The sequence below is a fragment of the Homo sapiens genome, chromosome 9, assembly GCF_000001405.40.
Source record: "Homo sapiens chromosome 9, GRCh38.p14 Primary Assembly".
In the NCBI taxonomy this organism is placed as follows: domain Eukaryota; kingdom Metazoa; phylum Chordata; class Mammalia; order Primates; family Hominidae; genus Homo; species Homo sapiens.
The window spans coordinates 5768779-5783662 of record NC_000009.12 but is presented as its reverse complement, the minus strand read 5'-3'; the positions used below and the strand labels follow the sequence as shown (position 1 = coordinate 5783662).

At 38.4% G+C, this 14884-nt stretch overlaps 1 protein-coding gene across 16 annotated transcripts in view; it reads right to left on the bottom strand.

The window, feature by feature from the left end:
* Nucleotides 1-5029: 5029 nt before the first annotated feature.
* RIC1 (RIC1 partner of RAB6A GEF complex) overlaps nt 5030-14884 on the bottom strand; it is a 149527-nt gene continuing 139672 nt past the window's right edge. For 11 of the 16 annotated variants that reach the window (NM_020829.4, NM_001206557.2, XM_005251523.4 and 8 more), the window contains 5 exons: nt 14407-14693; nt 13385-13576; nt 10922-11099; nt 10583-10771; nt 7106-9705 (listed from right to left, as the gene is read on the bottom strand). In NM_020829.4, the coding sequence (NP_065880.2) occupies nt 9417-9705; nt 10583-10771; nt 10922-11099; nt 13385-13576; nt 14407-14693 (1135 nt within the window). In that variant the 3' untranslated portion in view covers nt 7106-9416. Of the gene's footprint in view, nt 6975-7105; nt 9706-10582; nt 10772-10921; nt 11100-13384; nt 13577-13958; nt 14694-14884 lie in introns of those variants that run through there. The other 5 variants (XR_428426.4, XR_007061331.1, XR_007061330.1 and 2 more) reach the window with 2 other exon arrangements.

Genomic DNA, 14884 nt, shown 5'->3' with positions numbered 1-14884 from the left:
CATCCATGTCCCTGCAAAGGACAGGAACTCAACCATTTTTAGGGCTGCATAGTATTCCATGGTGCATACGTGCCACATTTTCTTTATCCAGTCTATCATTGATGATGGGCATTTGGGTTGGTTCTGAGTCTTTGCTATCGTGAACAGTGCTGCAGTAAACATACATGTGCATGTGTCTTTATAGTGGAATGATTTATAGTCCTTTGGGTATATATCCAGTAATGGGATGGCTGGGTCAAATGATATTTCTAGTTCTAGATCCTTGAGGAATCGTCACACTGTCTTCCACAATGGTTGGACTAATTTACACTCCCACCAACAATGTAAAAGAGTTCCTATTTCTCCACATCCTCTTTAGCATCTGTTGTTTCCTGACTTTTTAATGATCGCCGTTCTAACTGGCGTGACATGGTATCTCATTGTAGTTTTGATTTGCATTTCTCTGACCAGTGGTGATGAGCTTATTTTTCATATGTTTGTTGGCTGCATAAATGTCTTCTTTTGAGAAGTGTCTGTTCATACCCTTTGCCCACTTTTTGATGTTTTTTTTTTTTCTTGTAAGTTTAAGTTCTTTGTAGATTCTGGTATTAGCCCTTTGTCAGATGGATAGATTGCAAAAATTTTCTCCCATTCTGTAGGTTGCCCGTTCACTCTGATGTTAGTTTCTTTTGCTGTGCGGAAGCTCTTTAATTAGATCCCATTTGTCTATTTTGGCTTCTGTTGCCATTGCTTTTGGTGTTTTAGTCATGAAGTCTTTGCCCATGCCTGTGTCCTGAATGGTATTGCCTAGGTTTTCTTCTAGGGTTTTTATGTCTTACGTTTAAGTCTTTAATCCATCTTGAGTTAATTTTTGTATAAGGTGTAAGGAAGGGATCCAGTGTCAGCTTTCTGCACATGGCTAGCTAGTTTTCCCAACACCATTTATTAAATAGGGAATCCCTTCCCCATTCTTTGTTTTTGTCAGGTTTGTCAAAGATCAGATGGTTGTAGATGTGTGGTATTATTTCTGAGGTCTCTGTTCTGTTTCACTGGTCTATATATCTTGTTTTGGTACCAGTACCATGCTGTTTTTGTTACTGTGGCCTTGTAGTATAGTTTGAAGTCAGTAGCGTGATGTCTCCAGCACTGTTCTTTTTGCTTAGGATTGTCTTGGCTATGTGGGCTCTTTTTTGGTTCCATATGAACTTTAAAGTAGTTATTCAATTCTGTGAAGAAAGTCAATGGTAGCTTGTTGGGGATAGCACTGAATTTGTAAATTACTTTGGGCAGTATGGCCATTTTCACAATATTGATTCTTCCTATCCATGAGCATAGAATGTTCTTCCATTTGTGTGTGTCCTTTCTTATTTCATTGAACAGTGGTTTGTAGTTCTCCTTGAAGAGGTCCTTCACATCCTCTGTAAGTTGTATTCCTAGGTATTTTATTGTCTTTGCAGCAGTTGTGAATGGGAGTTCACTCATGATTTGGCTCTCTGTTTGTCTGTTATTGGTGTAGAGGTATGCTTGTGATTTTTGCACACTGACTTTGTATCCTGAGACTTTGCTGAAGTTGCTTATCAGCTTAAGGAGACTTTGGGCTGAGACTATGGGGTTTTCTAAATATACAATCATGTTGATCTAATATTGACAGTGGGGTGTTAAAGTCTCCCACCATTATTGCGTGGGAATCTAAGTCTCTTTGTAGGTCTCTAAGAACTTTATAAATCTGGGTGCTCCTGTATTGGGTACATATATATTTAGGATAGTTAGCTCTTCTTGTTGCATTGATCCCTTTACCATTATGTAATGGCCTTCTTTGTCCCTCTTGATCTTTGTTGGTTTAAAGAAGTCTGTTTTATCAGAAACTAGGATTGCAACCCCTGCTTTTATTTTTGCTTTTCATTTGCTTGGTAAATATTCCTCCATCCCTTTATTTTGAGCATGTGTGTGTCTTTGCATGTGAGATGCATCTCCTGAATACACCACACTGATGGGTCTTGACTCTTTGTCCAGTTTGCCAGTCTATGTCTTTTAATTGGGGCATTTAGCGCATTTATATTTAAGGTTAATGTTGTTATGTGTGAATTTGATCCTGCCATTATGATGCTGGCTGGTTATTTTGCCCGTTAGTTGATGCAGTTTCTTCATACCGTCAATGGCCTTTACAATTTGGTATGTTTTTGCAATGGCTGGTACTGGTTGTTCATTTCCATGTTTAGTGCTTCCTTCAGGAACTCTTGTAAGGCAGGCCTGGTGGTGACAAACATCTCAGCATTTGCTTGTCTGTAAAGGACTTTATTTCTCCTTTGCTTATGAAGCTTGGTTTGGCTGGATATGAAATTCTGGGTTGAAAATTCTTTAAGAATGTTGAATATGGGCCCCCACTCTCTTCTGGCTTGTAGAGTTTCTGCTGAGAGATCCACTGTTACTCTGATGGGCTCCCCTTTGTGGGTAACCCGACCTTTCTCTCTGGCCGCCCTTAACATTTTTTCCTTCATTTCAACTTTGGTGGATCCGACAATTATGTGTCTTGGAGTTGCTCTTCTCAAGGAGTATCTTGGTGGCGTTCTCTGTATTTCCTGAATTGAATGTTGGCCTGCCTTGCTAGGTTGGGGAAGTTCTCCTAAATAATATCCTGAAGAGTGTTTTCCAACTTGGTTCCATTCTCCCTGTGGCTTTCAGGTACACCAGTCAAATGTAGATTTGGCCTTTTCACGTAGTCCCATATTTCTTGGAGGCTTTGTTTGTTTCTTTTCACTCTTTTTTCTCTAATCTTGTCTTCTTGCTTTATTTCATTGAGTTGATCTTCAGTCTCTGATACCCTTTCTTCCACTTGATCAATTCGGCTACTGATACCTGTGTATGCTTTATGAAGTTCTCGTGCTGTTGTTTTCAGCTCTATCAGGTCATTTATATTCTTCTGTAAACTAGTTATTCTAGTTAGCAATTCATCTAACCTTTTTTCAAGGTTCTTAGCTTCCTTCCATTGGGTTAGAACATACACTCCTTTAGCTTGGAGGAGTTTGTTATTACCCACCTTCTGAAGCTTACTTCTGTCAATTTGTCAAACTCATTCTCTGTCCAGTTCTGTTCCCTTGCTGGCAAGGAGTTGTGATCCTTTGGAGGAGAAGAGGTGATCTGCTTTTTGGAATTTTCAGCCTTTTTTTGCTGTTTTTTCCTCATCTTCGTGGATTTATCTACCTTTGAAGTTGGTGACCTTCAGCTGGGTTCTCTTGAGTGGACGTCCTTTTTGTTGATGTTGATAGTATTCCTTTCTGTTTGGTGGTTTTCCTTCTTAACATTCAGGCCCTCTGCTGCAGGTTGGCTGGAGTTGACTTGAGGTCCAGTCCAGACCCTGTTTGCCTGGGTATCACTGGTGAAGGCTGCAGAACAGCAAAGATTGCTGCCTGTTCCTTCCTCTGGAAGCTTCGTCCTACAGGGGTACCCGCCAGATGCCAGCTAGAGCTCTCCTGTATGAGGTGTCTGTTGGCACCTACTGGGAGGACCCACTTGAGGAGTTAATCTGTCCTTTATCAGAGCTCCAATGCTGTGCTGGGAGATCTGCTGCTCTCTTCAGAGCTGCCAGGCAGGGACGTTTAAGTAAGTCTGCTGAAGCTGCGCCCACAACTGCCCTTTGTCCAAAGTGCTCTGTCCCAGGGAGGTGGGGGTTTTATCTGTTAGTCCCTGACTGGGGCTGCTGCCTTTTTTTCAGAGTTGCCCTGCCCAGAGAGGAGGGAATCTAGAGAGGCAGTCTGGCTGCAGTTGCCTTGCTGAACTGCAGTGGGCTCCGCCCATTTTGAACTTCCCAGTGGCTTTGTTTACACTGTGAGGGTAAAACTGCCTACTCAAGCCTCAGCAATGGTGGACGCCCCTCCCCCCATGTTGGAGCATCCCAGGTCAAGCTCAGACTGCTGTGCCAGCAGCAAGAATTTCAAGCCAGTGGATCTTAGCTTGCTGGGCTCTGTGGGGGTGGGACCCACCGAACCAGACCACTTGGCTCCCTGGCTTCAGCCCCCTTTCCAGGGGAGTGAATGGTTCTGACTGGTGTTTCAGGTGCCACTGGGGTATGAAAAAAAAAAACTGCGGCTAGCTTTGTGTCTGCCCAAAACAGCCATCCAGTTTTGTACTGGAAACCCAGGGCCCTGGTGGCGTGGGCACTGGAGGGAATCTCCTGGTCTGCGGGTTGCAAAGACTGTGGGAAAAGCACAGTATCTGGGCTGGATTGCAAGATACAGTCCCTAACAGTCCCTAATGGCTTCCCTTGGCTGGGAGAAGGAGTTCCCCGACCCCTTGCGCTTCCCAGGTGAGGCAACGAACTACCCTGGCTTTGGCTTACCCTCACAGGGCTGCACCCACTGTCCAACCAGTCCCAGTGAGATGAACCAGGTACCTCAGCTGGAAATGCAGAAATCACCCGCCTTCTGTGTCGATCTCGCTGGGAGCTGCAGACCAGAGCTGTTCCTATTCAGCCATCTTGCCAGCAATCCCAGTTATGGCTCTTAATGTCTGTTTTTAGTTTAAATACGTAGGGATTTTTGGAGTGTATCAGTGTATTTTTTGACACTTCTACTTCCATATTTGACTTGTAAAAACATAACATGTTGGTAATAATTTTTTTTTTCCTCCAGTTTGGCTCTACAGCATGACCAAATGGAATTTATGCCAGGAATGCAAGGTTGGTTTAACAGAAAGTTGGCCAGGTGCAGTGGCACATGCTTAATTTCAGCACTTTGGGAGGCCAAGGTGGGTGGATTGCTTAAGCCCAGGAGTTTGAGACTGGCCTGGACAACATGGCAAAACCCTGACTCTACTAAAAACACAACATTTAGCAGGGCATGGTGGTGTGTGCCTGTGGGCCCAGCTACTATAGAAACTGAGGTAGGAGGATGGCTTGAGCTCAGGAGGTTGAGGCTGCAGCAAGCCATGACTGCGCCACTTCCTTCCAGCATGGGTGACAGAGCAAAACTCTGTCTTAAAACAAAAACATTTGAAAATCAGTGTAATGTACCATATTAATAGAATAAAGGATAAAAACCACATGACTACTTCAGTAGATGCAATGTATGTTTGTTGAGTGTTTTTATCATGGAAGGGATTTGGATTTTTGTAAAAGACAAACTATACAGAAGGCAACATCCTCAACCAGATAAAGCTTATCAATAAAAAACCCACAGCTAGCATCATAATTAGTGATGAGAGAAAGCTTCTCCCTAAGATCAGAAGACAAGGATATCCACTATTGCCACCTAATAAGCATTGTACTAGTGGCTCTAGCCAGGACCGTTTGGCAGGAGAAAGAAAGAAAAGGCATCCAGATTGAAAAGGAAGAGTTCAAACTATCTCTGGTTGCAAACAACATGACCTTCAATGTAGAAAATCCTAAGGAATCCACAAAAAAGAAAAAGTTTGATGTTGCATGATGCAATGTCAATATACAGAAGCAATTGTATTTATATACACAATCCAAAAACAGGAAATTCCATTTTTTTTACAGTAGCAATACTTAGAAATAAATCTAACAAAAGTATGAGACTTAGCAAAAATTATAATCCACTGTTAAAAGACATTAAAAACCCAATAAATGGAAAGACATCTCATGTTCATGGACTGGAAGGCTTAATATGGCAATATTCTCCACATTTGCTTTATGTCATGAATACAACGCTTATGAAAATCCCAACTGCCTTTATTTTAGTATAGAAATTGACAAGCTGATCCTGCAATTCATATGGAAATACAAGGGACCTAGAATAGCCAAAACAACCTAGAAAAAACAAACTTAGGACTCTCGCTTTCAAAATTTCCTACAAAGCAACAGAAATCAAGGCAATGTGGTATTGGCATAAGAAGATATTATAGATCATTAGAATACAATTAAGAATCTATAAATAAACCCATACCTCTATAGTTGATTTTTGACAATGGGAAAAAAATCCTTTCCATAAATGGTGCTCTGACAATTGAATAGCCACGTTAGAAGAACGAAGTCAGATCTCTCTTTCATATCATATATGAAAATTAACTCAAAATGGATCAAAGACCTAAATGTAGGAGATATAACTATAAAATTCTTAAAACTTAGTCGTAAATATTCATAACCCTGGATTAGGCACAAGCAACCAAAGAAAAAATAAGTTGGACTTAAAAACAGTGTTTCAAAGGACATTATGGAGAAAGTGAAATGATTCAGAGTCCGTGTGATTGTAATCACATGCTGACAACACTCAGTCTAAGTCAGACTTCTGTTGTATTCTCACCACTCAATTTGTTTTTTTTTTTTAGCAGTATTTAATGGGTACATTTTAGAGTCTTCCATTTTGTGTGGAATTAGATCCTCCCCTTCAAATGCTGTAATTAACATTACTTAAAAAAAAAAACTTGAATATTGAAACCTAAAAAAGTGAAAAGCCCACAGAATGAAGAAATAGTTGCAATTTATATGTACATAAAAGAGTAGTATCCAGAATATATAAAGAACTCCAGCAAGTCAACAATGAAACGACCTAATTAAACAGACATTTTTCTTCAAAAATAGACAAATGGCTAATAATCCTACGAGAAGATTTACATTAACCATTAGGTAAATGAAAATCTAAACTATGATGAGACACTACTTCATATACAACTTGGATGGCTACAGCCAAAATAACAACATGCTTTGGTGCCAAGAAGTGAGATAGAAAAGTTCACATACTATATGTTTCCATTTATATGAAATGTCCAGAATAGGCAAATCCATGGAGACTGAAATTAGGAAAATGGGAAAAAGTCAAAGTACTTTTTAATCCCGCTTATTAGAAATGACGCCTAGGTTCCTCTATACTTACATGTAAAATTTTGTTTGCTTGGTAGGTATCTTAAGGTATACATAATTTTCTGTCATTCCTTCATTATATTTTGAACATTTTCCATGTCATCGACATGGGCTGTTTCCTCCAGTATTTTACTGTCAGGCATCTAGGATGTTGCGAACTCTTGATGCTGTCATTCTAAATCTACATATAAATAAATATTTTAAATAAATCTGTCTGAATTTCATTTCATAAGGAAAATTCTAAGAAGCAGAATTATATAATGAAAAGATGATTTTCGTGGCTGTTAACCTGAGATGATGAATAAACCAAAGTTTGTGTAATGGTTTTATTGCCCTTTACCAAGGGGAGAAAAATACACATTACAGAAATAGCAGCAACTTTAATTACAAGCAAAGGTTGATTTTATTCCCACACCCCCAATGACTTGTTTTGGTTTCAGCAAATAATTTATTAATAAATGCATCTAGTAAACCTCAAATAGTTATACTGAATATTTAAATTCATTGGCTAAAATTATGGCTTAAACAGTTGATATGTGAACCAAACACCACAATAAAAATGGGTTTTTAAAAATTAAGGTATATAACAAATAAATTACCAAATTTTCTGTAAACCTGCCAAACTTCTTGCCTGGGGGCCTCCTATCTCTATTAGTTGTAAAAGAATATTGTATAAAAGAAATGATTCATTCACGGCCTAACCCACAGGAATACAGTTAACTTATACTGGTGCCCTGCTTTCAAGAATGTTTGAGATGAACTCAGCAGCACAGTGTTTTATTTCAGATACTTGAAAAGATCACAGCTCTTTATAATGGTAAATCATTTTTATTGACTGAATATTCACACCAAACACAAAAGCAATGCTGGTTCTTCTCCTTAATGGACTAGGATAGGAGAAGAGAGTTCAGTTTAGTTTCTTGCTGGGCTGCATGTACTCACATGCAAAACATTATCTTTAAGATTCAGGGAAAGGTGGTTTGAAACAAAGACTTAAATAAAAATAGCACCAGAAGGACCAGGTACCAATAATCACATACTCCACCCATTCGGGAGTTTCATTTTGTGAAATATTATTGCACTTGTAATGTAAAAAGTAAATGATAGTAAATTACCCAACTCAGTAATTTTAAATACTTCGATGTATTCTGAACTAAGCAGTTTCAAAATGGTTTTGAGTTTCTCTTCAAAGGAAACCTGGCTAAGACAACTAAATCTAGCCATTTACTTTAAAAAGCAAGGAGAGAGGACCAAGTTTTGTTTCTAAACTACAACTGCACTATGAGAAAAGAGGCTATTTTAGATAGTGGTACGAATTTGGTCCACATCAAATACATCGTTATTATAAAAATAAACAAGTTTGTTTTTTGTAAAAAATAACATTGCATTCCTTGTTCAAATTGCACAGTACAAACAAGCTGTCTTAATACTGTTATAAGGTAATTAGAATTACATACAGTGGATGGGTGTTTAAAGCAATTAAGGAGTATGCAGTTGTTTTCATAATGTATGAAAACAAATTTAAGTCATTTCTAGAAGTACATAAAATACTTTAAGTTTACAATGAAGAATGCATTCTTTACACACTAATTTTTAGTAGCCGTGGTAATACAGGATTCAGCAGTCTATTTACATAGAAGTCCATCTTTATTCAATTTACAAAAGCAATAAATAAGAGACTATGTTAATTTGCACAAAACTTGCTGCATTTCATGATCAGTGTGACCATTTCTGTTACTTCATGACCAAGCCAATAAACCTGTCTTCCTCAGTTTTGCAGAGGAGCAAGCCCTGTCTTTGTATGTGTAGACATGCAGAATCCAGCATTAAAACCTTGCAAATTATAATACAAGCCCTAAAATATGAACAGTGCCTTTGAATATATTTACACAAGAGTATTCACAAAAAGATACTGTTCTTTAATACAAAATAGTTTAGTGGTATCTAACAGCAAAATTGAGAAGAACCCCCTCAGACCTCTGCCCACATTGGTCTAATGGGAATCAAGCTTGCTAAAACAAGCACATTAACTCACAGGTAAATAGCTTCCATCAATTCTGGACTGGGATTTGACTGGCTAGTAAAGCCAAGGAGAATGTTTCCATCACACTGGCACATATTGTGCCCCAGGGTAGCAATCTATTCAGGAGGACTGATTAAAGAGTCCAGCTGTATCCAAGGGAGCAAACAGGTAGCTCAAGTACCTGACAGACTATAGCAAGCACCTTAGCATTTATTTTTTAAAAAGCAATCTGGACATAATGCAGAACCGGGAAATGTGAGAAGATGTAAGTAGTGAAAAAGTAAGCTCACCTGGGGCAAAACAATTCCTGTGGTTTAAGAGCTACCAACCTTTGAGTAAAACCAAAATATTCTCATGTACATCTGTACAATATTTACTTTTCACTGCAGCTTAAAATTTTTTTATGAAAGATGCTTTATATCACATTTTTATGGAGTCAAAAAGATTTCTTAGACAAGAAAGAATTAGTTAAAATCTACTAATACTTACCGAAGAGTCTCTGAACTGAGTTCTCCTGTTAAATCATCCAACTATGTTACAACGTACTGAGCTGCACGCTGCTGCTAATTAATACTGCCCCTTTGTGATGGAACCTCACTGTTAGGACACAGAACAGTCGTAAGTCCCATCCTGAAAAGGTTCTTCCTCCTCTGCTTGGGCTGTGTCCTCCTCTTTCCGGCTGACCATATTGCTGCTTCCAACTTCACCCTGGGGGATGCTTCCATGGCTGGAGGAGCCCCTGCTCTCCTCTGCCCGGGGGCTAGTCTGTTCTGGAGTCTTACCCATAGTTATTGGTTGGAAGGCATCTGGCTGGACCTGCTCTTCTGTTATCTCACTGAGCTTCTGCAGTTGTGGCTTAATGATGTTTAAAAATGGCTTATATCCAGGACTATGTAGAGAAAAAAAACATTAGCTCATCTGCCATAATTCAAAAGGTTTGGTAGAACATTACGGGTGAACTTCTACTGAACATTGATATGGTAAAGACGACGATAGATTAGGAGGGGAGAGAGGAGGCAAAGAAGGTAGGGAGGAAAGGCTTCTTGGCTGTCCTGCCCAGCAGAGGGGGCTGCACATTGCATAAGCCTGAGGCTTAAGTTTCTAAGCATTAGGGGCAAAGGCTGATGTTTTAGAACCAGTATTACAACTAAAAATTATATTTTACAATTGAAAGGCCAACAGGAGCTTAGACTTGAAAAAGGACCTTCAGACAACATTTAACCTAAATGCATTTGCCAATTAAGGAAAACCAGATCCAAGTAAGGGAAGTAACTAGCTCCAAATACACACATTAACTGGTAATAAAGACAGGGCTAGAGTCCAAGGCTCTTAACTGCAACCACAACTCTAATTTGGATTTGCTTGTAACTGCCATGGAATGTTAAATTCACATGGACCTTAAGTTTGAATCTTTTCAAGTAGATATTTGTAGACCATTGCTTTCAATTTCACAGGGATGCAAATCTGAAGTTCCAGTCTAATTCTAAGCTCATTTGCACTGCATCAATCTTAAGTCAGTGATATACATTCACACTATAAATTATACACTGACCAACAGTGTAACCTTACTCGATGGAATTATCCATTTAAATAGCTGGGTATAGAATGATTACTAAAGAAAGTAGCTTAAAAATGAACATATAATAAATAATATATAATAAATAAATAAAATGTAACACATGAACCATAACTAGGCCTTAATGTGAAAGGACAGGATTCACCAAAAGACATGGAAGGACACCAAGCCTAAGGAAAGCAGCACTTACCAGTCTGTAGAGGCCCATCGGTCCACTGCATGGAGCCCTGTCTTTATGTTCTGTAACATCTCTCCATCTACCTCTGAAGACTGTGTAATAACCAAAATCTGATTGATTATTGAGGATTCTCTAAGAATCAGGCCTATAACGATGCACCAGTCTAGGCACCCTGCCTCCATGAAAATGTGTAGCAAATACCTAAATATAAGCAGAAACAAAATGATTTATGCTAAGAAAGATCTATAAGATGTACAGAAGTGCAATGATTATTAGGAGAGTAGCCCCATACCTATTTGCCCAAATACTCTGAGTAGGCATTCTGTGATTTCAAATAGCCAAGAAACTCACCGAAGCTGGACCTGGGATTTATGAGGCCCTTTACTGGCCAACTCCATGGAAATGTGCTCCAGCTCTGACTGAGTTAAACTGAGTGTAGAGAAATTTTCATCCACCATTGTCCAGTCGCCATCCACCATGGAGCTACTTTCAGTCAAGTCTGTGGCTGAACCAATACTGCATTCATCACCTGATGAAGAATTGCCAAAAGTTACAACCAACTTCGTGGAGAAAATATATTTTCCTTTAATTTTAAATATTAGCTGTTCCTCAGATGTTGATTTCTCAGGATCTTGAAACTAAAACATGAAATCCATGGCTAAAATTACCATGTGAACATAGAAAACATTTAAAGAAAGAATTAGATAACCGACATTATGTACCTTTAGATGGAAAAATATACTACCACCACCTATGAAGCAGTCTTCCCCAACTCCCTCAATAAAATCTAGCTAGAGTTTGACCAAGTCTTTACATTCAGCTACTACAGGAAATAGAGGAAACTGTTAAACTAAACCATGGAGATGTAATAAGCAAAATCATTATTGTGAGAAAATCCACAAAACCAAATTTCTTCCATGAATAAACTGCAAGGAAGGGAAAAGGAGAGGGTGGGGGAACATCCACTTAAAAAGAGAATTAAGAACACAATCACAATATGTGAACCTTATTTAAATCTTAACCTATACAAAATTATGATGTCTATGAAACAATTAGAAATCTGAATACTTAATGGATATTTGATGGTACCAAGGAATTATCAAATTTTTATAGGGATGATAATGGTATTTTGGTCATAATTCTTAAAGAGTCCTTGTAGGAAAAAAACTGAAATATTTATAGATAATATGTCATGGATTTTCTTCAGTTAATACAAGAGTGGGGAGGTACAACAAACATATGTGGCCATTAGTGATGTAAGCTGAGTGACGGCCACATGGGGGAGGGAGGAGAACCCACTATATTATTAACTGTACTTTTTAATATATTTGAAATTATCTCTTGAAAAAAGTTTTCTAAAGTGATGGCACCATCTCACACCCATTAGGATGACTACTATCAAAAAACTGAAAGTGAGTGTTGGTGAGATGTGGAGAAAATAGAACCCTTGTCCACTGCTGATAATTTAAAATGGTGCAGTTGCTATGGGAAACATGGCGATTCCTCAAAAAAAATGCAAGTAGAATTATGACCCAGCAGTCCCATTTCTGGATATATATACCCAAAATAACTGAAAACAGAGTCTCACAGAAATATTATATACCCACATTCACAGCAGCATAATTCACAATAGCCAAAAGTAAAAGCAACCCAAGTGTCCATCATCAGAAGAATACACAAAACGTGGTATCTGCATACAAAGGAATAAAACATGCTCCAAAAAGGATGAACATGAGGACATTATGCTAAGTGAAATAAGCTGGTCAGAAAAAGACAAACACTATATGATTTCCTTATATGAAGTACCTAGAATAGTCAAATTCAGAGAGAAAAAATAAAATGGTGGTTGCCACTGGCTGGGGGAAGAAGGTATGAGGAGCTGCTGTTATTAAGTAACATATACAGAGTTTTCGTTTTGAAGATGAAGAGCATTCTGGAGGCTGATTGCAGAACAATGTGGGCATAATTAACACTACAAACTCTGCTTAAAAACGGTTAAGCTGTTAAATTGTGTATTCTACCACAATTTAAAACAAAACTAATGAGATCTGTAAGCCTCCTCACATAGCAGAAGCTCAGGTAATAGTGATGACAGACTGATAATCAAACATTAGACAAATGCCTGGCCACTAAAAAAACTGCAAACTCAGACAAATTGTTGTTTAAGCTCCTATACTATATAACCCTATGCCAACACAAATTGCTTCAAAACCTCTTCAGTTTGTGATTTACCCATTACTACAGAGCAGAGGTTGGTGTACATTTTTTTGTAAAAGCACCAGATAGTAAATACTACAAGCTTTTAAGGCCAAGAGGCAAAATCAAGGATATTATGTAGGAACTTATATAGCAAGAGAAAAAGCAAATGTCCACAATTTTTATTGATGAAATAAAAAACATTACCTCCTCACATATTCCAAAAGAAAAATAAATAAAAAACATAAAAATGATAATGCAGTAAAATTTGTTATGATCCACATCTAATTATGATAAAAATGGAATTCTTTATATGAGGATAACATTTTGCTTACTTGGGGCTCAAAGTTAGTGTTTCCTTATCATCAAAATTGATTTACAAAGATTCATCTATTAATGTTGATCTGTACTATTTATTTTGTTCACATAAAATAAATATGGCAAAGTACAGTCAAGGCCAGTTTGGCCTTGTTCTACAAACTTTCTACCTCTCCAGTGGATACAAATGGTTAATCCTCCATCACGATAGAAAAAGAATGAAGGTCTATCTCTGAAGTGCTATAGCACATAAATTTTCTTCAAAGGAACTGAAGAGCTAGGATTTAAAATTACATTTACCTTTATTAGATAAAGGTGACAAGAAGGCATCTTGCATTTGTGGTCCATGGGATGAAGCTGTGTCTATCTCATGATGGGTGGGGCCAATGTTGCTGAGCCAGCTCTGACTTCGCTGGATGTTGGAGATGCCAGCATCCATCTCAAGGTTCAAAAATGGGTCAGCTGATTGAGACTTTAACAGCTGCTCTCCCACTGCAGAGTGGGTCCGAAAACAAAAAATGGAGGAAGAAATTGAAGATGCACACACTGACATTTTCAATTCAGCTCTTTTAGCTTCCCCTACCTGCCTACCCAATAAGAACAGTTCAAAGGCAATTACTGTCCTGTACTGTATCAGCCACCCCAAAACTAGAGACATGGGATTGTGTAACAATGGACTGACCACAATACCACCTAAAAGTTATATCATCCTATTTCTTACTGGAGCTAGGCAAAACTTTATTATGTTGATCTTCTAAGTGATTTGCTTTGGCTCTTAAGATAACATGAAGTTTCCAAATGCCAAAGTTAAAAGTTTTGGTTTCAATATTCACAAATAATAATAATTAGAACAGTCTTCATAAAAAGTCCTGAATTAAAAAACTTTAAATTTTTATTTCACCAAAATATACACTTTCAGTTTGTCCTCTCCTAGTTTAGAAGGTGGCCTTACTGTTCCCCTGGAATGAGTTCTGTCAGCTTACTTTGAGGTCCATGTCTATCTGATTCCAGAACTCCTTCCCACAATAACATAAGCATGGTAGCTTTTATATTCAGGCAGTTCTCAACTTCTTTATAATCCAAGTATGATTAGATTTTTGAATTAGACTTCAAGGTCACAAGACTTAGAGACATAGGTTCTACTTTATTTACATCTTTGGTCAAACAGTGGGCATTCCAACTCATGTACAAAAAGTTGGCTTTTATCCATTCCTAAGTTTGGAATGAAAATAATTCCTTGAATATCAACTAATAGCAAAATGTGTAAATACACGGAGTAAAATACAATTCTCCTTGTACAAGTGACATGAAGTCTACATTACCAGTTCGGTATTTTCCATTTTTGAAAGGAGAACTGATAGAAGAGGCTGGGATGATTGGAAGTGGCCACAGGAAATCTTTGTGGAGTCTCTTCAGGGCTATTACAAAGTTGTCTACCCGGGCGGCTCGGGTACGTTCCTTGCATAGCCAACTAATTAGTTCAAAGCCCAGCTGGGCTGCAAAGCAGCCAAGGTCCTTTAACCTCACATCTTCTAAGAGGCGCCGAGCATGTCTCCAGAGCATCATGTCAATATACATGTTCTCAGCACAGTCACTGTCTTTGCTCCATCTGTAAGTGGAAACACAAGAAAGCTACAGAATAATCTTTACTGGAGGATTTCACATCCTTATTACGCAGAGGTACTGATAAAGCTGACAAGGAGATAAGAGATCCAAGATCTAATTCTGATTGACAATGAAGATAAAGTATCAACGCTTCTCCTCCGTGTTACACCACAACCCTCGGAACACAGAAGGCTC